Raw genomic sequence first — 21,581 nt, 5'->3', positions numbered from 1 at the left:
TTGTTTTCTTGTATGATCTTTGTGAAAGGCATTTAAAGCAAACCATAAACAAAGAAATATTGATATGGAAATCATTTAGTACTGTGCACAGCCACTTTCATGTAAGAAAAACATTTTTGAGTTTGTTTTTTAGACATCTATTCCCCCTACTGGTGATATTTATTCTTATTTGGCTACCCAAAAAAAAAAAAAAAAAAAAAAAGTTCAGATAATAGGAAGAGAAGAAGCCTGACTGGATTGTTTGAATATCTCAGTGATGTGATTGCTTTTGCGACAAATTCTTAAATTGTAGACTTTCTAACCCCTCTGCCACTAAGGACAGTTACTTTGCAAAGTTGTCCTTTCTCCTTGAACTCTGAAGCACGTATTCCATTGTCACTTCAGAGTGTGAAATGTGGAATGTCCTTACTGATGGGCTGTGGCCGCCACTGTTCATTTGGATAATGGAAGTTGGAGACTAAAGAAACCTTGGACTTTTCTGTCCTCAAAAACTACCTGTCCAGATCTGGTCTGCTTATAAGACACCCAGATTGGGAAGCAATATATCATAGAAGGGCCTATTGTAAGGTGTTTTTACATAATGGCTCCCTTGGACATCTTTGCACCTAGGGAAGCTTATGGAGACCCCCCACCTCACCTCCTCCATGGCTGGGTCATTGCCTTCCCATGTGCTCTCATAGCCCTTGTCCTCCTGCGGCCATATACTGCATTGTAATGACCTGGCTCCTTGGCCACCTCCCCAACAGAACCATACATTTCATGAAAGTAGGACTGGGCTTGCCTGAACCATAGTGGGTAATCCACAGAGCACAGGATACCTTTGCCCTCCCTCCAGGGCAGCAGTCGGATGCCTCGTATCTAGAAGTCCTAACAAAGCAAGAGAGTGCAGGGCAGGGCCACCTTTTTTGGAACTCCAGGGGGTTCCACTGCTGTCCACGTGAATGGTGCCCCTGAGGCTCACAGTGCCCAACCTGCATGGCCACATGCAGCCACCCTGGCTCCACTCCTTTGGGGCTGAGTGGGAGGCAAGAGGAAGACAGGGAGCTGATGCCCACCCAGTGGCTACCACATGCTGGGCACTCTGCCAGCTGCTGGCATCCACATCCATGCCCTTGCTTAGTCCTCAGGCCCGCCCATATCCACCCTGCCTCCCTCCCACCCGCCCCACTCCTGCTCCGTCTCCTGCTGTAGGAGCTAAGGGGAGCAGGAAAGGCAAGACACCTCCGAGGGGTCCAAGACCAGGTGCATGAGGATGGGCACACACTTACATTCCCACAACCCCCAGGACTGCCCACCACCCTTCTCGCTGTTCATTTCCCATTTCACAACTCTAGAAAGTAGTTAGAAGTTCTAGATACTATTCAAGTCAAAGTTTTGTTATTATTATTATGATTATCATTAAACAATACAACGAAAACATCATTTGCAACAGAGCTTTGTTGGGGGTGGGAAACACCTAGCAGGACACTTCTAGCACCCCTCGCACTGCCCCAGCACCCCACATGCCCCCGCTCTTCTTCACTGGAAAATGAGGACAAGGGAGCAGAGTGGACAAACGGAGGCTGGAAAGGCACCTGTAGTAGCGCAGGGGCTGGTCTGTGGCTGCTGCTTGTCTGAAGTGGGGAATCGTACCCCTTCCTCCTCGCACAGGCTGTTGAGTTCCTAGAAGGAGACGAAGGAAAAGCCCTAGAAGGTTTGTGTTTGCATGTGCTAGAAAGGGAGAGAAGAACCACAGAAGAACCCAGAGGCTCCTGCCCCATCCCGGGCCCTGGCGTACTGCAAGGTACCCACACATTCCATGGGGACAGGAGGGCTGGGGTCTGCTGCTTCCCTTCGGGTGGGGGATGTTGAATGGCCTGGAGCCTAAAGTTAACGCATGCCTGACCAGCTCTTTAGGCTCTTTAGAGGAAGGACTCCGCCTGTGACACGTGCCCTTATAATGTGCCCAAGGCCCCTGAAAGCCCACTTGGAGCCCACGTGGCTGTGGCTTTCCAACCCACCTGCCCTCAGGGGGAGAGCTTCCTGGAGCAACATTTACCTCAGCCACCTCTAAGCTACCAGAGCCCCTGTCCACGAATTGCCTCCACCCTTCCAACAGCAAATCAGTACCTTTGCTGCTTCTGACAAAGGACCGCTCCCAACTGCCACATCGGAGCCTCTGTTTCCTCATCCAGATGTCGACACTAGCAAGTGTTCTTTCAGAAGGAGGATGACAGGACACTTTAGGAGCCACAGCAACCACACACAGGGAACGAGCGACTGCCGGGGCAGCTGATCAAGCAGGAAGTCCCACTTATTTGTCCTTCAGGCCCCACACCCTTGCAATGACCTGTGTAGGCTGCTCCTCCACTGGAGGCTGGCCCAGCCCCACAGACTAAGCAGGGAACACAGTTTGCAACCTAAACGGGGTGGGGAAGCCAAAAGTCCAGTTAGCAGATCCCATGGGGTGGCCAGGGAGGGTCACGGAATGGGCATTTAGGCTCACAGGACTGGGGTTCTAATCCTGACCCTGTCACCTTCTTGTGTCTTTGGAAAAATCTCCGAACTGGAGTTTCTCATTCTCAAATTGGGGGACTTGATGAGATGATGTCTAAGGCATTCCTCTTCCTTAACATTCTGGAATCCTAAGAGAGCAGAAGGTATGAGGCACCCCCTGTCCTCTCAAGCTCCAGCAATCCATGGAAAACTCTGCAGCGACAAAGAGCTCTCTTCTAACAAGATTTCTGGAATAATGGACTCCTTTAACAAGACTAATGTAATCAGCAAAGTATTCATGAATCCGAAATAATGTATTAAATTTCATGTGGCCTTTTAAAATTAAGAGGGAGAGCCGAACAAAATGTACAGTGGACATTATGAACTTAAAAGCCTTGAGAAATCACTCCATTACATTTAGTAAATATGTGTCAAACCCCTGCTTCATGCCAAGCACAGTGCTAGGCTCCAGGAGCCCAGGATGAATAAGACAGCCCCTACCCTGCAAAGAAATCAAGGTATGGCGTGGGCAGACCAACATGTCAAAAATGTCATTTCAAAATGCTTTAGTAAAGACGGTGACAGAGATGTGCCCAGGATGTTCTGGGGCTCAGCCCAGCCTGGGGAAAGTTCTAAAAATGTTCTTATAGAAAGTAATGTCTGAACTGACTTTGAAAGACGTACTTCAGGCCTTTTTGCTGAACCCAAAGCTCTACAAAGCTTTCCTACTTCAGCACAATATCTACCTGCACTATTGAGGTTAGGTCAAGTTATTGTTGAGGCTCTTTTATCTTTCCCCACTGGCCAGCAACCCATGAGGACTACTGAGAGCAGGAGAGGAGAGTCAAACGTTCTTAGCCAATTCCTTTCCAATTATTCTACACATTGGCATAGGTTTGGGTTAGATTAGCATCTTCAGGCTCAAATTTTAAGTATCCTGAAGTATATTCCACCGACAGAAAAGCTGACTTAAGATCACGGATTAGGATCAATTATGATTCTCCATCCCTGAACTAGACTAGCCTTTCACCAAAGTGCTCAGTAACTTCCTTAAAGCTCACTTATAGCAGGTAGGGATGGAAGGAAGAAGAGAAATGCCGACACAACTCTAGGCAGGTTAGAAAGCTTGAGATCTTCACTGAATTATATTAAATGTCTTAAGTCTACACTTGGTGTGCTCCCCTTGAAGTGGCTTAAATTTATCGAGTTTCTAGATTAAATTAGACTTTCTTTTTAGAAACAAAACAAAAACCTTAGGAAAATATCACTGTAGAGCTACTACATACAGATATTCTGCAGATACCATTATTTTTCATGTTTTAGAAAATAGGAGATATATAAATGTCACTGGGGTTGTGAAAAGAAGATCTTGTTTGTTCCAAAGAAGATTCTAGAACAAAGCACTAAAAAGATTGATTGTGAGCTCCTAGAAGAGAAAACTGGCCTCAAGGTCTTCAGGACAAGCCACAACAAACAAAAGACAGAATTATCATAGGCCTAATAAATCTGGAATTAGGGAGGATTGCCTCGTACAGTATCCTGTAGGCATGACAGAAACAATGTGTGTGATGCCAGGACCTTGGTTGGATTCATAACTAGTTGCATGGCTCTCTGGAAATGAGCTGATTTGAATATGTGTCATCTTAGGAGTTTTGTAGTATAATGCCCTAGAGAGCAGCCTTGCAACTTTTTGGAACAAGGCAGGGAGGAAAGAGTGTAAGAGAGGAAGAAAAAGAAAATAAGGCAGAAGGAAAGAGAATAAGGGCTCTGAGCTTAATTTGATTCTGTCTCGCATTTGTATTAATTTGGAAGATGGTGTAAAGAGCATGATCACCGAAATTGTAGAGTATGCCAATCAGGAAGAGAACTGGGATGCAAAAAGTCCTTAGGATAAGATAATGGGCTAAATACAAAAGATGAAATGTAACTGGGATGAATGCAAGCTTCTATCTATGGGTCCAAAAAATCAATCTTGCAAGTTAAGAGAGACATGAATTAGCTGCAACATTTATAAAACATAAAAATCCTGAAAGACTAAGGCTTTGAATTGACTATAGCTCAATGGCAATGGGGCCAAATAATCAAATGGGATTTTAGATTAAAATGAGGGAGCTGATGGTTCTCTTTTACTCTAAACTCCTCAAACCATGTCCGGAAAATTGTGTCCAGCTCTGGGCCTCATGCTTTAAGAAGATGGTAGCAAAGTGGAATGTGTCCAGAGGAATAACCAGGAGAGAAAAAACCCAAGTGTTCTCCTGGAAAAGAGAAGATAAGAAGAAAAAAAGTGCTGACTTCAAGTGTTCAAAAGGAATTGGATTTTGGGGAGAGACAAATCTGAGACTGATATGAGGAAGAACTTTCTAACAAAGCTATTGAGAATTAAAATGGGCCACCTTGGGAGCTAGTGATGTGCCTATCAGGAGAAGTGTTTTAACACAGGCCGAAGGCTACTGCTGTAGAATGAGGTAGAAGGGTCCCTCTCTGTATACAGGTTTTCTTTATAGATTCTTGCGGGAAGTATTCTCTGTCAGGCATCATGCTGGGCACTGGGGATGCCAGGACATTGTGCCTTCCATGAGTGAGACAGATCACAATCATAGCCCAACAAGACACATGTGGTCCTGGATATATGAAAAATAAGTACAATAAGCAAGGGAAAGGGAGTTACTAACACTGCGGTGAAGATGAATTCTTGGCCGGGCAAAGCAAAGGAGAGAGTAGTGTAGTGGCATCCCGCTGGGGAAGTTCCTGGGTGTGTGGGGATGGAAACAGTCCGGTGGGAGATGAGACCACAGAGGTGGGCTGGGGCTGGGTTGTCAAGGACGTTGGGTTGTACAATAAATGAGCTCGCTCTCTCTCCAGGAGGAGGAGGAGAGAACTGGCAGGGACTCCTTAAAATAGAGATGTAGGACAGTGATTCTGGTGACAGAGAAGGTGGACTGAACTCAGGAGAAATTGGTGACAGGAAGACTGGTTAGTCATTTCCAGTTCTGAGGTACTTGATTTCATAGGGTGATAGTAAATGTGAACATCTTTGGATGAAAAATGCTTTTACAGGAGGCTAACAACAAGAGGGCAGCTCTGTGCAGAAACAAGTTGTTTGTCTATGAAAATGAGCAGAAAAGGTCTGGGCAGACCTGGCTGTGTGATCCCAGGTCATGAAGACCCGGTCCAGGACATGGTCAGGACTGACCAGGCAGGTTTTCCAGGGAGAGTAGCTTTACAGAGTTTCTAAATGAGCCCATCAGCATTGGACAAATAAGTCTTGCATGAACTGAATATAAACTTAAACAGGGAATTGGAGAGAAATTGATAGAGGGCTTTCCAGCCTTTGAAGCTCTCAAGGACTCTAAGACCTGAGAAACAGAAAAGCTGCCTCTGCCATTAGGAGCCTGCCTGGCCCTCACAGCTAGGCCTTAGTAGTCTCCTGTTGAACACTTTCACAGAACTCCAGACAAGGCCACTCTGTGAATATCATGATAAGGCAAATCAAGACCCCTTCATAGTCGTGTCTGATCTCAAACCAGAACAAGAACATTGTCCAAACCACAAAAATGATCAGACATTCCCTTATCAGGCTAATAGAAGCGACTGCTGCTGCTTTGCCAATTACAGCTTTAGCCTCACTTCATTCTTCCCATCTTTTAGATAAGATTTGTTAAGATAATCAAAGATTTATCTTGTTTCCTGATGGAATCCAATGCACAGCAGAACCCTCTATTTCCTTGAACGCTCCTCCAAATCACCTAACTGAAGTCTAAGTCCTATAAGTAGTCCTTTCTAACCCCTATTACTGAGCTGCCTCATGGTTCCTCATGGTGCATGTTCTCTTTCCTTGCAATATGTCAACAAATCCATTTGTTCCTGGTGGTCTGTGGCAGGAACACATTGACATACCATTACATTATACTTTATCCCGAGCTTTCTTCTCAGGGGTTCTAGTGTCTCTGAGGTTTTTATGTAAAATGTTATACATCACTAGCAGTGGTGGGCTAGTCCATGGACTGTTTTGAGCACAGGCCTAGGCTGTCCTCTTGTCCACCTGATGCATTACAAAACCAGCTCAAATATTAGCAGCTTCTAAGAAGATTCCTGATATCTCTTCCTTGAAATGACCCATTCTCTGAGACCCTACTGCACATGATATGAGCCTTGTTTGGCAAATATTTCACGGTGTTGTAAATATTTTTAAGCACTCTTCTATAAGAAGAATTTGAACTCATTGAGGGCAAGGACTCTGTCATATTCATTTTTGTGTCTCCAGTGTCTAATGTAATAGCATGCAGAAAGTTCACTAAATGAATAAATGATCAAATGAATAAGTGAAATGTTAGACTTGGAAGGGACCTAAACAATCATCTATCCCAGAGTTCTCAAACGCAAATGCCTAGTGGGGCCCAGCAGTGATAGCTAGAGAGGGGCCTGTGGCTACATGGCAATCCATGCCCCATCAGTGACAGTGAGTTTTTCCCAAGAATTTGAGTTCACTGTTGCCAGATCTTCTGAATTTTAAAGAAAAGCTAGATATCTCAAACTTTAAAATGTTTAAAAATACTTGGTGAGCCTAATAAAATATGTCTGTGGGCCAGGTTTAATTTCTGGGCTGCCAATTTGTGACTTCTGATCTTGGCCAACCTCTAATTTTGTATGCAAAGACACTGTGGTCCAGAGAGGTTAGGGGCATTCCTGAGGTCACCCAATTATTATCAGTGGCAAACAGACTCCAACCCAGGAGTCTTAAGAATTCCAATTCCAATTAGTATCTCCTGATCATATTCTGGGAGCAGGGCACTCAGATCTCATACTCTTATTGAAGGCAAAGTGCAGGCACTTAGGATGATAGAAAATATGCGCAAAAATCTAAGAGGTAGCGTCTAGACTTTGCTAATGGTTCCCTATGTCAGGTTATATTTTTAAACAATCCTAAATATTTTCTTCTCTTTCCCAATGCTGTGTCTGTTTCCTTCTCACTAGAAAATTTAATTATATACATTTTAGTTTAAATTTTGTTCCTATCAGTGTAATACCCATAGCTGTATAAAATGTTAAATTATACTACAAGGCCTATAGTGACAACTCACAGTTGCTTGCCCCATACCTTACCAGCCCTCAGTCCTGCTTTCTTCAAATTTTTTAGTTGCTGAAAAGTCTTTTTAAATTATGGTGCTCCAGTTTTAACCTGGAAACACATGCCCATCTTCTCTAGGAAATTTTCTTGTATCATTTATTTGAAATTGTTCTTCTCGTTTTCTCTGTTGTCTACTAGAATTCCTATCCGTTGGGTCTTCTAATTTTCTTTCCTTCCATTTCATTTTAATTTATTTCTTCAGAGACTTCCTCAGCATTATCTTACAGCCCTACTATTGAATCTTTCACTTCTACTATTACACTTTTAAATTCCCAGAGGTTTTTCTTCTTCCTCACTCTCTGAATGTTCTCTTTGGAATGTCCTCCTGTTTTTGTTTTGTGGCTTCAGCAGTGTCTCCTATCTCCTAATAATTGTGCTTTGCCTGTTGATTTGTTTGAAGTTGCTTATGTTCTGGTCTGTTTTCTCTGAGTTCCTTTTTATTCTGTTTGTTTCTGTCTCTACTTTTTCCATTAGAAGCTTTCCTCAAATGTCTGATAGACTTTGGTTATCTAATCATATTTAAAAGTGAGGCACTAGAAGAAGTAAATACATGAATAATTAAATAAGCAAAGCACTACAATTCTGATAATAAGTTCTGCGTGCAAGGTGGCCTTTTTGACTGGTGGGCTTTACTGTACAGCATCCAGCTATTTTTCTCAGGGGATTTCCGATGGTCAAGTCTGTGGCTAATTTTATGGAAGAAGAATCCTCTAGATGCCTTCCTGAGAGGTAAAAACACTGGCTCCCAGTGTTCTGAGAGCCAAATAGAGGAGGAGGAGGGTTGGAGAACTCGCCATTCAGTATGTAGATTTTCACTTCACTCCCCATGTTTCTAACATTCTGCCTCATCCCTATCTTGACTTGTGTCCCCAAATCCCTTCTGGTTCAACATCTCTAAAGGGAAAATCTCTAATCTAATTTGAGTGGTTGTGGGGATAGAGAGATTGATATTTATTTATTTATTTATTTATTTATTTATTTATTCGTTTATTTTTCGAGATGGAGTTTTGCTCTTGTTGCCCAGGCTGGAGTGCAATGGCGCGATCTCGGCTCACTGCAACCTCCGCCTCCCAGGTTCAAGCGATTCTCCTGCCTCAGCTTCCCAAGTACCTGGGATCACAGGCATATGCCACCGCACCCAGCTAATTTTGTATTTTTAGTAGAGATGAGGTTTCACCATGTTGGCCAGGCTGCTCTGTAACTCCTGACTTCAGGTGATCCACCCACCTGGGCCTCCCAAAGTACTGGGATTATGGGCAAGAGCCACTGCACCCTGCGTAATTGGTCTTTAAAAGACTTTGACCAAGCCTCTTGTTTGCAATCCCTCCTGACACTACCACCTTTAGAGACGCCTACGGTATTTCTAGTTCTTGAACCTCTCCGAGTTTCTGTGAGATGGGTTGCTTTGTTCCTTGTTAATTTCCCCCACTGAGGCTGAAGCTTCAGTTTTGGGCGGTCTGCTAAGTCAGTTACTCTTGGTACTTATGCATTCTAGCTTCCAAAATTTTACTTGCACTTCTCCTCTGCTGTCACCTCCTCTCTTGCTGTCTGCCTGTTTTGATTGGTACCTTCTTTATTACTTTACCATCGTTTCAGAGAATCTTCCATAGAGAGCACAGACAAACACATTTGTTTAATCCACTGTGCGTAATAGGAAGTTTTCCTAGGAAATTTAGATTTGATTTTTAAGGCCTGTTAATCTAAGATCCACCTTGACTAGGTGGGTACGTGGACAGTGACAACCTGGCCCATTCCATATTCTTAACAAGGAGTCTTTCTGATGAGGCTACAGACACAAACGGCTCTTTGATTCCTCTTGCATAACATGATTTGATGGAGATCTAGCAGATCTATCTGTGATGTGACTACTCCAATTCTGAATAAGCGATGCTGTAATACTTCTCATTATATTTCCTGATTTTATCGAAAGGCTCATGTGTCAACAGTTTGAAGATTTTAAACCTGGCCTAATACTTTTAAAATTCTGTGCCTTTTCATAGCTGAGTTGCACCTCACTTACATATGCAGTTATATTTACATAAGTATAATGCTACTTTGGACTGAGTTATAAGAGAGTCCTGTAACATTCTTTATGAAGTCAGTGTCTGTTACCATCAATAATAAGGGGTGTGTGGTATATGCCACCAGATTTGGCCCATGATAAAGAACTTCTGTTACTAACAATTATGGCAGTGGCAGTAGGGATATTGGAGTGGTAGTGGAGGTATTAGGGACATGATCAAGGTGACAGTAATAGCCTGGGCAATAGTGAGACCTTCTTTCTGCATTTTTTTTTAACTAGCTGAGCGTGGTGGCTTGCGCCTGTGGTCCCAGCTATTTGGGGAAGCTGAGGTAGGAGAATCACTCGAGCCTGAGAGGTCAAGGCTGTGGTGAGCTGAGATCACGCCACTGTACTCCAGCCTGGGTGATAAGCAAGACCCTGTCTCAAAACAAACAAACAAACAAAAAAACAGTAATTGAGTGGTCTTTGTAAATTAATTAAATTATCTTTATTTACTTACTACTCTTTAGCTCTTTATTATACAATCTAAAACATTTGGGATAAGCCACCATGAATAAAGTTATGTTCACAATTCTGGGTGCCCATTTGTAGCCTTACCCAAAGAGTGTCAGATGCTAGGAAAACCAGGCCATTACAGTGTGACTAAAAGAGGCCACCACTGTTTTTCATGGTGGTCCCTCCACCCTACAGAACAACCAGGTTTGACTCATATAACTGAAAGTGACAATTATATCACTACAACCATGCCCACTTATCAATCAATCAATATCTATGTTCCAAAGCTTGGTACTGGGGGTTTTGAGGGACACAAAAGGAGAGAGTCCTTTATTCTTGAGGAACTTACCAATAGTACGAGGCAATGTAGGGTGAGCTTCCGTGGGCATGATGGGTTTAATTTAAGAGGGGAACTTAGAATGGAAAGCAATGAAAGGACTGGGACATTCTCATTGTACATTGTCTGTGTCCTAGTCATAGGATTTTTAGTACATGGCATTGTTGTTATTTGCCTACTACATGATGTTATCTCCATTGAGGACATGGGACTTGGTCTCTTCATCTCTGTCTCCCCCGCAATTTGCATATGGATAGTGCCTGGCACATTCGATAAATGTTCATTGAATGAAAGAAAGAATGAATGAGCAAATTCATTGGCAGAGGGTGGTGGTGTTGGGGGCAGGGGTTGGCTACCTCTTTTTTTTTTCTTTTATATATATATATATTTTTTAATTATACTTTAGGTTCTTGGGTACATGTGCACAATGTGAAGGTTTGTTACATATGAATACATGTGCCATGTTGGTGTGCTGCACCCATTAACTCGTCATTTACGTTAGGTATATCTCCTAATGCTATCCCGCACCACTCCCCCCACCCCACAACAGGCCCCGGTGTGTGATGTTCCCCTTCCTGTGTCCAGGTGTTCTTATTGTTCAATTCCCACCTATATGATAAAGGGGATAGGCTACCTCTTAAATAACCTATAGGAAACAGGCAAACAAGACAGGAGGGTGTTCCTGGTGCAAACTGTGATTAAAGTATGCAGGGGGGTGTTCTGAAACAAATCTTGCTGGAATACAGGGCTCAGTGGGTGAGCAGTGGGAGATAAGTTTGGACATGAAGATGAGCCAGATTATTGAAAGACTTGAAAACAGGTTCATAGAGTTTGGACTTTATTCTCTATGAAAGGGTGAGATGTTGGTGTATTTAGCATGCAAGACGAATTTGATGAGAGCAGGGTAATATTAACATTAGCTCGTCTGCCCCAGGCAGAATGAACTGATTAGGCAAGAGACTAGAGCCAGAGCAGATAGTTTAGGAGACTACTGTGATAATCCAAGTGAAAAATGATGATGGCCTCGATGGAATAGTTGGTGATTGAAAAGGAGAGACAGAAAGAGAGGCAATACAAGAAAATCTATAAGAATAACCTATTAAAATGAAAATCCTAAAAAAATTTTGCTGGATAAACCCAAGTTAGGAGGTTTTGTTATCTCATCACTTTCCAGCAGTTTTTGTAGTGTGAAGACTTTTTCAGCATACATTTTTCTGAAAAAAACAGATGAGAAGGGGAGCCCACACATGAAGGCTTCAGCCCAAAATGTTCAGAGTAAGGAACCAAGGAAAGGGTTCCTGTAGAGGGATTGCTATGGCTTTGTTTCCTACAAGCTTCTCCTCTGCTGAGAGGAAGCCCACAAACTGCAGGGAATCTGACTTTCTCCAGGAATGAAAGGCTATGTTTGATCTTGGGGTGGGGACTGGCCTGGGGAGGACAACCATTTCCTGCAGTCTCACAAACCACCGGAATCTTCTTCTCTGTGGATTTAATTAGATCCAATACTTAGTAAACGATCATATTTCCAGCCCTAAACCTTACAAATTGGTCTTGAGCTATATACAATGATGGCGACAAATGTTTCCTGGGGGTTGAGGGTGGGAGGTGGGGGTAGGAAACACACACACACAAAAACCCCACAACAACATTTTTTTCTTTTTCTTTCTTTTTTTTTCTTTTTTCTTTTTTTTTTTTTTGAGACAGAGTCTCACTCTGTCGCCCAGGTTGGAGTGCAGTGGCTCGATCTCACTGCAACCTCTGCCTCCTGGGCTCAAGCGATTTTCCCACCTCAGCCTCCTGAGTAGGTGGAATTACAGGTGTGCACCACCACACCCGGCTAATTTTTGTATTTTTAGTAGAGATGGTTTTTGCCATGTTGGCCAGGCTGCTCCTGAACTCCTGACCTCAAGTGATCTGCCCACCTCGGCCTCCCAAAGTGCTGGGATTACAGATGTGAGCCATCATGCCTGGCCAAGAAAACAATGTTCTGATTTAAAGGAACTGGAGTGGTAGGTTTTTTTCTTTTTTTCCCCCCAATCTTGATTTTCACCAACGTTTTTACTGTGGAGGTTTAGGTCATGTGATTAACCATGTGATTAACTCAGATTTAGACCATTCTGAGAAAGCTTTTGCAGTGGGAATACTGTCCTGTTCATAATAAGCACAACAAAAAACTTACAGATATATTTATATAAAGGAAAAACCAAAATAGGTGTAGGGTAACATTGAAAGCTTAATGCTTGCACAAAAGTCCTCTTTGTTTAAGTTTCTTTTTAAAAATGAACTCACAAAAAAGGTGCAAAAATTAATACTGTGTCCTGGTCCTAAGCTTGAGGCAGATCCTGCATCTTCAATTTAATCTTCTTTTGTGTTCCTTATTCACCCCAGTGATTAGAGGTGGCCTTAAATTTCAGCACTTAAGTGGTGCTTCATGACTTCTTGAACAGGTTAAATAAATAATATCTATATCCCCCAAATTTAACATGACGTGTTGTTAAATGAAGAAGAGAATGAACTATTATCCTTTGTATTTGAAGATTATTCTACTCATGGTGATCACTGATCATGTGTGCAAGCTAGAAAAAGATGTGAATGACCTGCTCCTTTTCATGCTGTAATCGAAGGAGGTCTGGGCTAATTTTCAACTCTGCCCTCAAGATCCTTCTTTACATGTTATCTTAATACTAATGTCACAATAATACTACTACTGCTACTTATAACAATAGTGATCATGATGATGCTGCCACCAACAACAGTATAATAGTAGGAGACTTAATACCCAATATTCTTGTTGGATCTTTTATCAAAATACTGTGATATGGGCAAGGATGTTATTGCCCCTATTTTCCGAACGTTGGACACCGTGGTCATCTGTCTTTTACTGTTCTCAAGAATATTTAAATTAAAATGGAAAAACACCTATTTAATTCACTTTAAATATTAGTAAAATAATATCTTTGCATTGTTCAAATTCTGTCTTAAGTGACTGACTGGTTTTCTTCTATTTGTTTCCATCCTCAAATGATACCTTTCCATCCACAAAAGACTGAACCAAAGACACAGCTCCCATTTTCCTATTCGTTTTTTCATATGGAAGTTTAATGGTGATTTTATTCCAAACCTTGCACAAACATAAATACTGCATTAAAGGAAGATGAATTTATTTTGACCTTTACTGAAAATGCACTGTGAAACAAAGCACTTAAGCATTTATAGCCTGTTAGACACTCACATTACCCACTTCCATGTAGATAAGAAAGTCTTTCCCAGCAAAAGTAATGTTCACAAGCAGAGCAGTTTTACGGGGCACTTAACTGCAAAGCCAGATATTATCATGTTCTTCACTATGAGTCTGTTTTGCTTGGTTTTATGCATCTAAGATCTATAGAAATTAAGGGAGTATCTAAAAATGTTACATTCAAGAATCATAGAGGATGACTTTTTTTGATGGGTTTTGATGAAAATACAGGATATCTGCAACAAAATACTTGGGGAAAAACATTATTTATTAGAAAGGAGATGGAGTGTTTGGGGATTTTGTTTGGTTTCTTTTGAACTAGTTTCTCCCATCTCCCTCCTGTAAAGAAATTGGTGGCATTGTTTCAGTAATTTTTGGTTAAAAGTGGGTTCCACTTCTATTTATAATTATTAACATAACCTGTCCCCTTAAAATAGACCACCCTTTCTTTGCATGGGCAGAAATGAGTATTTTGTGCATTTTATTTTTTGCCATGATCCTTCTCCTTTAGTCATAAGCCTCTGACTGCAGAGCTATTTCCTCCATCTAGATTCTTGTGTCAGAGAGTTGAGATGTTAAACCACAGCAACCATGAAACTTTAAAATCTCTGATGCATGATGAATGGGTGCTGGGCAAAGCAGCTTAAAATCTATGCTTTTGCTTCTCTTTAAACACTTTAAATTGACAGCGCCATAGATCAAACATTTTTACTGAGAGGAGAAGCTTTGGCAATTTAACTTAAACAAGTGCAGAGTTACCATCATCTCAAGACCTCACCCCTCCACAATTACCCCTTCCACCTAGCAGATTGGGTACATTTCTCATTGAGAGCAAGTGTGTGTGTGTGTGTGTGTGTGTGTGTGTGCGCTCGCGCGCGCGCAGTTATGCTACAGGGCAGCGGCCTGTAACCGGGCGGGTATAACACCCCATGCAACTTCCCCCACCGACCCCCATCCCACCCAGTCTCACCCCCAAGGAGGTTAGCCGGGGGATTCCGCCCGCGGCCCGGGACGTCGCGGAGCATGCGCCATGGTCCCGCCTCCGCCCACCGTTACCACAGCCTTCCACCTCCCCTCTCTCCTCATCCTCCTCCTCCTCCTCTCCCTCCCCACCCCCCTCCTGGAGCAGCGAAGTTGGCGCGCTGCCCATTCAGGCGTTCAGCGTCAGCTCCTCAGGGATCAGCAGGCAAAGTCACAGTCTGCACAAACAGAGCTTTCAAATTCATAAAATTCATAGGATTTTTCACAAATGAATGAACACAATTTTCTACCAATTTCCTCATTATGCAAATATGCAAAATATCAAATTTAGGCCAATTAGGGTCCTCCACAGTCCCAAATTCACCCGTTTAAGCCATAATTGCAGAAACTATCAAATAATTACGGTCGCTAATTGGAAATATTTGTGACAGATACAACAAATTCTTGCACAAATTACATTTCATTCGAGGAACCACTGCGCGCCACTGAAATTTTATCGAAGTCTAATTTAACTTACATAATGAGTTGAATTGAGTACTTGTTATCAAATTTGAGCAATTCATAGCCCCGTAATGTGGAATGATCAAATAAATTAAAAGGGAATTTATTCAATATTTTGTTGTGATCCTTTTCTCGGAACCATTGCTATTTTGCAGGGAATTTCCTCCTCCCGCGGCCCGGGGCGGGTGCCTGGTGTCACTGAAGCCCCGGCGGTGCCCGCGGCGGCGGCGCGAGGAGGCTGCGGGTGGCGGGGAGCCGGGAGCCGGGAGCCGGGAGCGAGAGTGCAGAACCCCAGCTCCGAACCGCAGCAGCCTCCGCGCCGCGAGCGACCGGGCTGACGCCCTGTCGGCGTCCAGCTCCGCAAGCCCCGGGCTGTCGGAGGCCCGCTCGGGCCCTTTGCTTTGTTTTCATTAATTGGGTGGAGGGGTCACCGAACACTTCCGGGTGAAGCAAGGGGGAGTCCTAGAAAGGATTTGACTTCTGGAAGTGTAAACACACGCGCGCGCACTTGCACACGCGCCTACACACGCACTTCTCGCGCGTGCACACACGCACACATGCACGCCGCGCACACCCACACCACACACGCACACGCCACATAGACACTTGATCACACGCGCACACGCCACGTGCAGGCACACACATTGTCCCTCTTACACACCCACCACACAGACACACACCCACATACACGCGCGCGCGCGCACGGGACCGCCCGCACCTCGCGCCGGCCTGTAAAAGCCTTGCTGGAGTAGAGCAGAAGCGCGCCCCCTCGGAGTTCCTCTCTCCTGAGCCGGCCTGCCAAGGGTTAACTGCTGGATGGAGGGTCCTGCGATGGTCGCGCGCACAGTGTCCCACGGGCACAGTCACACATAGACACACACATACACACACTCTGGGAGAGGGAACGCGCACTCGCGCTCCCTGGCCTTTGTGTGTGTCCTCGGGAGAGGTCCAACTCCGAGTAATTGAATGGCACTCTAACCAGTAGTCTAAACCCTCCCTGACACGCGAATCCACGCGGCCCCTCTGCACGCATGTCCCTCGCGTGCGGCAAACACACGGGCTGCCGGGATCACCCTCTCCCGAAGGTCAGCCTTGCAGAGAGGGCATTCATTTTCACTTTGCACAGTCGCGCAACACACTCACTAGCACATTTTTTTCCAACTGCCTGTGGCCTCGTTGGCGGGTTATAAATGTCTCCTTCTCCCTGTGATTTGTTTAATCCGTGGAAATGGTGCTGGTCCTATGTAAACAAGCCAAGTGCGGAATGAAGGCAGTCACCCATGCGTGGCCAGCCTGCCTATTTGTCAGAAAACCTTCATAAATACTGAGCTGGGGCTGGGCAAGGATGTGATGTCTCCATTTTTGCCAGGAAAGGGCACGAGGAAGACAAAGCGAGGCACGGCAGCGTGTAACCTTTAAGGGACAGATAGTCTGGGAGCTCGGAGGAAGCTCTTGGGCTAAGTCAATGAGGGAAAATGACGGATGCGGGGCTGACTGCGCGCCTGGCGTCGGCTGGGCGGGAGGAGACAAGGCCCGGGCGTTTTTATACCAGGGAGCACACAGATAAGGGCCACATTGCCTCAGGCCGGGCCCGCGAGCCCGAGGCCTTATGAGGCCTTACGGCTGGGCCAGAGTTGCTTCTTGAGAAGCGAATCTCAGACACCCGCAGGTCTGCAGGCGCACCACCCCTCCTAGTAAACCCGTCCAAATATTTTATTTCCAACCTCACCTGGTTTCATTCAAAGCAAATTCCTGGTGTCCCGGGCAGGTAGACATGGAGCAGAGCTGCGGACCCATCTCTCGATTTGTCAAAACGTCCGTGGGTGACCTGTCCAAGCTCTGTTTGCCCACCCCTAGACTTATGATCCAGCTCCCAAACCTGCGCTTTTTTTTTTAAAGAACAATGCATATGTGGCTAATTACACACTCCTAACAAAAGCAGTAATTACCGCCTGTAATTATCATCGTCCTTATTTAGAAAAAATGTGAGAAAATGTTGAATATTAAAACATGAAAGCAGCTATTAATCAAACCTTTACACCTTCTTTAACTCAGGCGTAATGGTGGGTATTATCATAAATCTACTCTGATAGTAACACAAGAATAATGAGTTCAGTAATGATAGCGATGATGATCATAATGATTTTAACCAACAAAGAATGGTGTAGATTTATTGCTAATAATGTGGTACAGGAACCTCTTTCATTAAAATTACCTATGTGTGTTCTCCTCGCTGGGGTAACCTGCATGTGTGTGTGTGTGTGTCTGTGTGTGTCTGTGTGGGGTGTTGCCACCTTCCTCTGTGGCTAAAGATCAAAGCTGGTTGTTTGCAGCGTATTGACCTCTCTCTGGAAAGCCTTTATCTGAGTCTCTGTCTGGACACAGGGTCCTCCCTTCTCCCCTCAGAAGAATCTAGTTCAGAGACTCTTAGAGGGGTGGAGTGGATGCGGGAGGCCTAGGGCCTGGAGAGAAAGCATTTTGTGGGGCAGGCCTCCTCCTCCAATCTACCCAACTCCTCACCCCTGCACCCTCTCCAGAGAAGGTCACTGTGGGGGAGTGGAGGATGGCATTGGCTATGGTAGATCTTCCAGGTCACAGTCTCAGAAAAGGGGCCGGGTTGGTTTGGGGCTTTGATTGATACAATGAAAAGAGGAGGGGGATAAGGATTCAACCCTTGAGACTCCAGCTTTAAACTTTGTTTTCTCTTCCAAAGTAAAGGGAAGCGCTCCAGGTAGCCTAGGGCCTACGCTTAGAGACCATTAGCCATTCAGAAGCGCGAATGCTAGGGTACTAGCCAGGTGGAAAACACAATAAAGAGAGGGAATGTTCAGTTCACCTGAATGTACTCTTGTTTTTAATGAAATTAACTTGACATTTGTCCTTTGCAAATATTATGAAAATTATCAGTGGAAACCCCTGTTTTAATGTAAACTTTTTTTTAAAAAGACCCCACTTTGGGACATAGTGCTCCATTTCAGTGAGTGGGAGCCCCAGGAGTTCAAACTCCCAAACCTAATTTTGCCTCTGAATTTTCAGTCATAAGCAATTCTCCAAAGCAAATCATAAACTTTTAGGGCTTATGAGGTTTCATAAACAGGAGGCTCTGTGAGCTTGAACTCCCAGAGACCAGTCAGAAAACATAAGTATCCCTCCTGGAGTCCCTGCCCAGGAAAAAGTGTAAATGTAGATATATTTAGTGGGTTTCATAGACTAGTCTGGTTATATTTTCCTAAATGCCAACCTTTCCAATTAACTGTAACATTCTGTCAGTTATGGAGTGTAGAATGCAGTGGTGACATAATTAGGACTTATACATAATAAATAATACATCTATAGTATTTTAGCCTCCACTAGCAGTTATGAGATCAGTGTGTGGGCCAATTAACTAAAGGGGCTTTTTTTAAATGAAGGTACTATAAACACACTGGTTTTAGATGTCCTAATTAGTAACTTGCTCATTAATTAACTTTTTGATTAATTGTGTAGCAATCTAATTTGTAGATGAGCCACTCAAAGAGTGATACCTTGTAATTCTTTTTTCTGTCTTTAAAATTCCCCCGTAAAATGTAATTTTGTATCCAGCTGGCCTCTTAGTTGTGGAAATTCTCTGCTTAAAAGATGCTCTGCTTTTGGTCTAAAACTAAATGTCACTTAATCCTTTCCTATCTGGACAGGACAGTCTGGCTAGAGGCAGAGGGTGAGGAATAGGAGGAGTGAGGTGGGTAGGGGCACAGGCGGGCAGAGTTCTGCTAATAATATGAAGAAGTGGATAAAGGCCGAAAGTACTCTATACATTTAGCCTAAACATAATTCCCCCTACTTTGTAAAGAAAAGAAGAGAGAAAGCACTTATGACTTTCATCATGACCAATTCTCAAATCCAAAAACCATTTTAGGGGAAAAGAAATAATTTTTAAAGAAAACTTATGGTGGCCTCCATACCCCTATCATGGACTAGCCCAGGGGATAATTTAATGCAGTGGACAAAGGGCTAATGGCCGATTTCAATAGGAGCTGCCTCACACTGGAACATCCCGGGGCTGTTCTATTAGCATCAGAAAGGGCGCCAGGCCCTGTTTCCACCAGAGCTATTGTTGCCCGGGTGTGTCGCCAGTCCTATCCTGCAGAAAGCCTTTAGCCCTGATGGCAGATGATTCTCTAAGTGAATAGAGATGAAGGCAGGGATATTAAGTGACTCTATAAAACATCCCGGACACAATTGTGTGATTGATGGAGGACAAAGTGGGAACAGCAGGACACAGGATCCTGGGAGAAGCAGCCTTGTCAATGCGAGAAACCCATCTCTGGAAACAGCTTCTCCTGGAGGAGTTTGCAGTCTATTTGTATGAGTAATCAGCTGGGCCCCCTCTCTGTCAGCCCTGTTTACTCACTGATTTTCTCAACAAGACAACCATTGACACTGGATGGATGGGGCTAATCTGGCGCAGAACTGGCGGCTTCGCAGAGGCTACAGGTCGAAAATAGAGCACGGTGCCAGCTTCACCTCGCCTAATCTAGCAGCTAATATTTATTAGAGCCAATTTATACCGCTGCTCTCTCAAAGAGCAAGGAAGTCCTGGGTGCAATTAATAACATGGGCAATAACCACAGACAAACAAATAAATAAGGGTTTGTGAACTGTTTGGTTGGTTTTAAGGGAGGGTGGGGAGAGGACAGGGTTGGGTTTGCCACCTGGAACTGCAAGGAGAGGAAGTAAAGGTAGCCTTGAAGCCCCTGAAAAGGGGCATTCTCTTTGGCCCCCTCATCCAATCTCAGAGCAACAACTCGGCTGCAAAATGGCTTAGAAACCTGCACAAATGCACGTAATTCCACATTGCATCTAACAGAACTTGTACACAGACACCTGCCCTCGCAGGCAGAGGTGCGAGCGCACACTGCCATTGTTAATATCCAGCTTATGCGCATCCGTACACTGGGCGGAGGGAAACCCAGATCACAAGCCTTGCACTGCACTTAGCAGCCAAGCCCTGCAGCCACCAAGGAGAGTGGCTATCTGGGAGCTACAAACTGGGGAGGTGTGGGAGAAAAGAGAATGAGGATGGGGTACTAGCCGGAGGGACTCCAAGGTCTTGCTTGGAGGCCTCAGGCCCCTCTTCCTAAGATCGATGTTCTAGGATTTGAGAACTGTTTGTACAGATGCTGACAGTTGTTAAGTTTGCAGCGTTTGGATGTTTAACATGATTTTTGCCGGGCCAAGCTGGGGAGAAACAGAAAAAGAGAGTGTGTGTGCTCCCAATGGTGCCTTGTGGGCCTCAAGTGGGTATAAAGTCACGGACAGGCGTACATTGTAAAGGGATGGTAGGAAGCAGCATTGTTCTTAACCGGGAGCCGTTGCAGCGGGGGCTGCTGCACAAGCGCTGACCTCGCCGCAGCCAAGGCCTGCAGACCGCAGCCTGCCAGGAAGGGAGCCCTTTGCCCTCGCGCCCTGGTCTCCCCACTCGCCCTCCCCGACCCCCTCTGGGCAAGCGGGCGCCCGCGCCTTGCTAATTGCTCGGCTCCCTTCATGCACACATCTCCACTAATTTTACATTTCTCATTCTGCGGGTAGCTGGAAAGCGGCTCAGGGAATACGGTTCCTTCTCTTAGCTACCGCATGAATACAGTAAGTGGTGGCCGTCCAGGCCTCCCTGGCTGGGAGGTTTGGTAAATTAGCAGCTTGGCTGTATAATCAGGCGTTCGCCATTGAGGCCACAGTGCTGTACCCGTTAACCAGGTGAGATTTCATCATCTAATGGGTTGGGAGGTGTGACCGAGCTGCTAAGTTAGCAATTAAACTTCACAAATATCATTGGATTGCATTTTTTTTTTACAGGCCAAAGCCACGTCACCCCAGGCATAAAAGAAGAAAAAAAAAACAAACAACTTTCCAAAATGTACACACTAAGGGAAAATCTTTTGTGAAACACATGAAATGAAAAAACATGGTTTGGTACCTAAACACCATATTTGAATTATATTATCCTATAAAATACAGACCTCGTAGTTATGGTTCTAGGTCTGGAAGGGCCTGTTCTGCCAGCCAGTTCTCCAAAGGCAGGGCAGGATATATAAAACATATTATATTAGGTAATATCTAATATAGGACAGAAGAATCTGGGAAATAATACAGATTTCTTCCTTTGGGCCTATTGTTTTGATTTATTATTTTAGTAAGAATTGGAATCAAAGAGAAAAGGGCAAACACTCAGGTAAAATGTTATTCCAAGCCTGTAACAGCCAACAAGAGCCAGCTCCCCAGGTGCCTGTGGGACCTGAACCCCTGCACCTCCACCTTGCTCTTTAAGGTGTAGCCATATTAGTTGGAGCTGGTGACTGAAATACTTGGTGTACATTAGGAGATCCTACTTAGATTTTCTTCCTGGAAACAAGTAAGCTCTCCT

At 44.4% G+C, this 21,581-nt stretch overlaps 7 annotated features.

The window, feature by feature from the left end:
* Window positions 15,222-15,729: an enhancer, noted in NCBI's record as "H3K27ac-H3K4me1 hESC enhancer chr5:77147533-77148040 (GRCh37/hg19 assembly coordinates)". NCBI's record gives its function as "activates a minimal SCP1, AML or CMV promoter by ChIP-STARR-seq in naive H9 embryonic stem cells {active_cell/tissue: H9 hESC(naive)}" and the evidence as "EXISTENCE:reporter gene assay evidence [ECO:0000049][PMID:30033119]".
* Window positions 15,730-16,239: an enhancer, noted in NCBI's record as "H3K27ac-H3K4me1 hESC enhancer chr5:77147023-77147532 (GRCh37/hg19 assembly coordinates)". NCBI's record gives its function as "activates a minimal SCP1, AML or CMV promoter by ChIP-STARR-seq in naive H9 embryonic stem cells {active_cell/tissue: H9 hESC(naive)}" and the evidence as "EXISTENCE:reporter gene assay evidence [ECO:0000049][PMID:30033119]".
* Window positions 18,131-21,519: an enhancer, noted in NCBI's record as "VISTA enhancer hs1783; NRF1 and E2F4 HCTs in TCBA and LOC101929154 intergenic region, chr5:77177499-77180887 amplified region (NCBI36/hg18 genome assembly coordinates)". NCBI's record gives its function as "enhancer in: neural tube[4/5] | hindbrain (rhombencephalon)[4/5] | midbrain (mesencephalon)[4/5] | forebrain[4/5]" and the evidence as "EXISTENCE:transgenic organism evidence [ECO:0001131][PMID:17130149, PMID:20363979]".
* Window positions 18,851-19,799: an enhancer, noted in NCBI's record as "OCT4-NANOG hESC enhancer chr5:77143463-77144411 (GRCh37/hg19 assembly coordinates)". NCBI's record gives its function as "activates a minimal SCP1, AML or CMV promoter by ChIP-STARR-seq in naive and primed H9 embryonic stem cells {active_cell/tissue: H9 hESC(naive and primed)}" and the evidence as "EXISTENCE:reporter gene assay evidence [ECO:0000049][PMID:30033119]".
* Window positions 19,470-20,392: a conserved region, noted in NCBI's record as "conserved region; HCT with multiple E2F4 binding motifs". NCBI's record gives the evidence for it as "EXISTENCE:sequence alignment evidence [ECO:0000200][PMID:20363979]".
* Window positions 20,064-20,679: a conserved region, noted in NCBI's record as "conserved region; HCT with multiple NRF1 binding motifs". NCBI's record gives the evidence for it as "EXISTENCE:sequence alignment evidence [ECO:0000200][PMID:20363979]".
* Window positions 20,526-21,110: an enhancer, noted in NCBI's record as "H3K27ac-H3K4me1 hESC enhancer chr5:77142152-77142736 (GRCh37/hg19 assembly coordinates)". NCBI's record gives its function as "activates a minimal SCP1, AML or CMV promoter by ChIP-STARR-seq in naive H9 embryonic stem cells {active_cell/tissue: H9 hESC(naive)}" and the evidence as "EXISTENCE:reporter gene assay evidence [ECO:0000049][PMID:30033119]".

This window comes from Homo sapiens, chromosome 5 (genome assembly GCF_000001405.40).
Source record: "Homo sapiens chromosome 5, GRCh38.p14 Primary Assembly".
Taxonomy (NCBI): Eukaryota; Metazoa; Chordata; class Mammalia; order Primates; family Hominidae; genus Homo; species Homo sapiens.
This window is presented reverse-complemented; position numbering and strand designations above follow the sequence as displayed.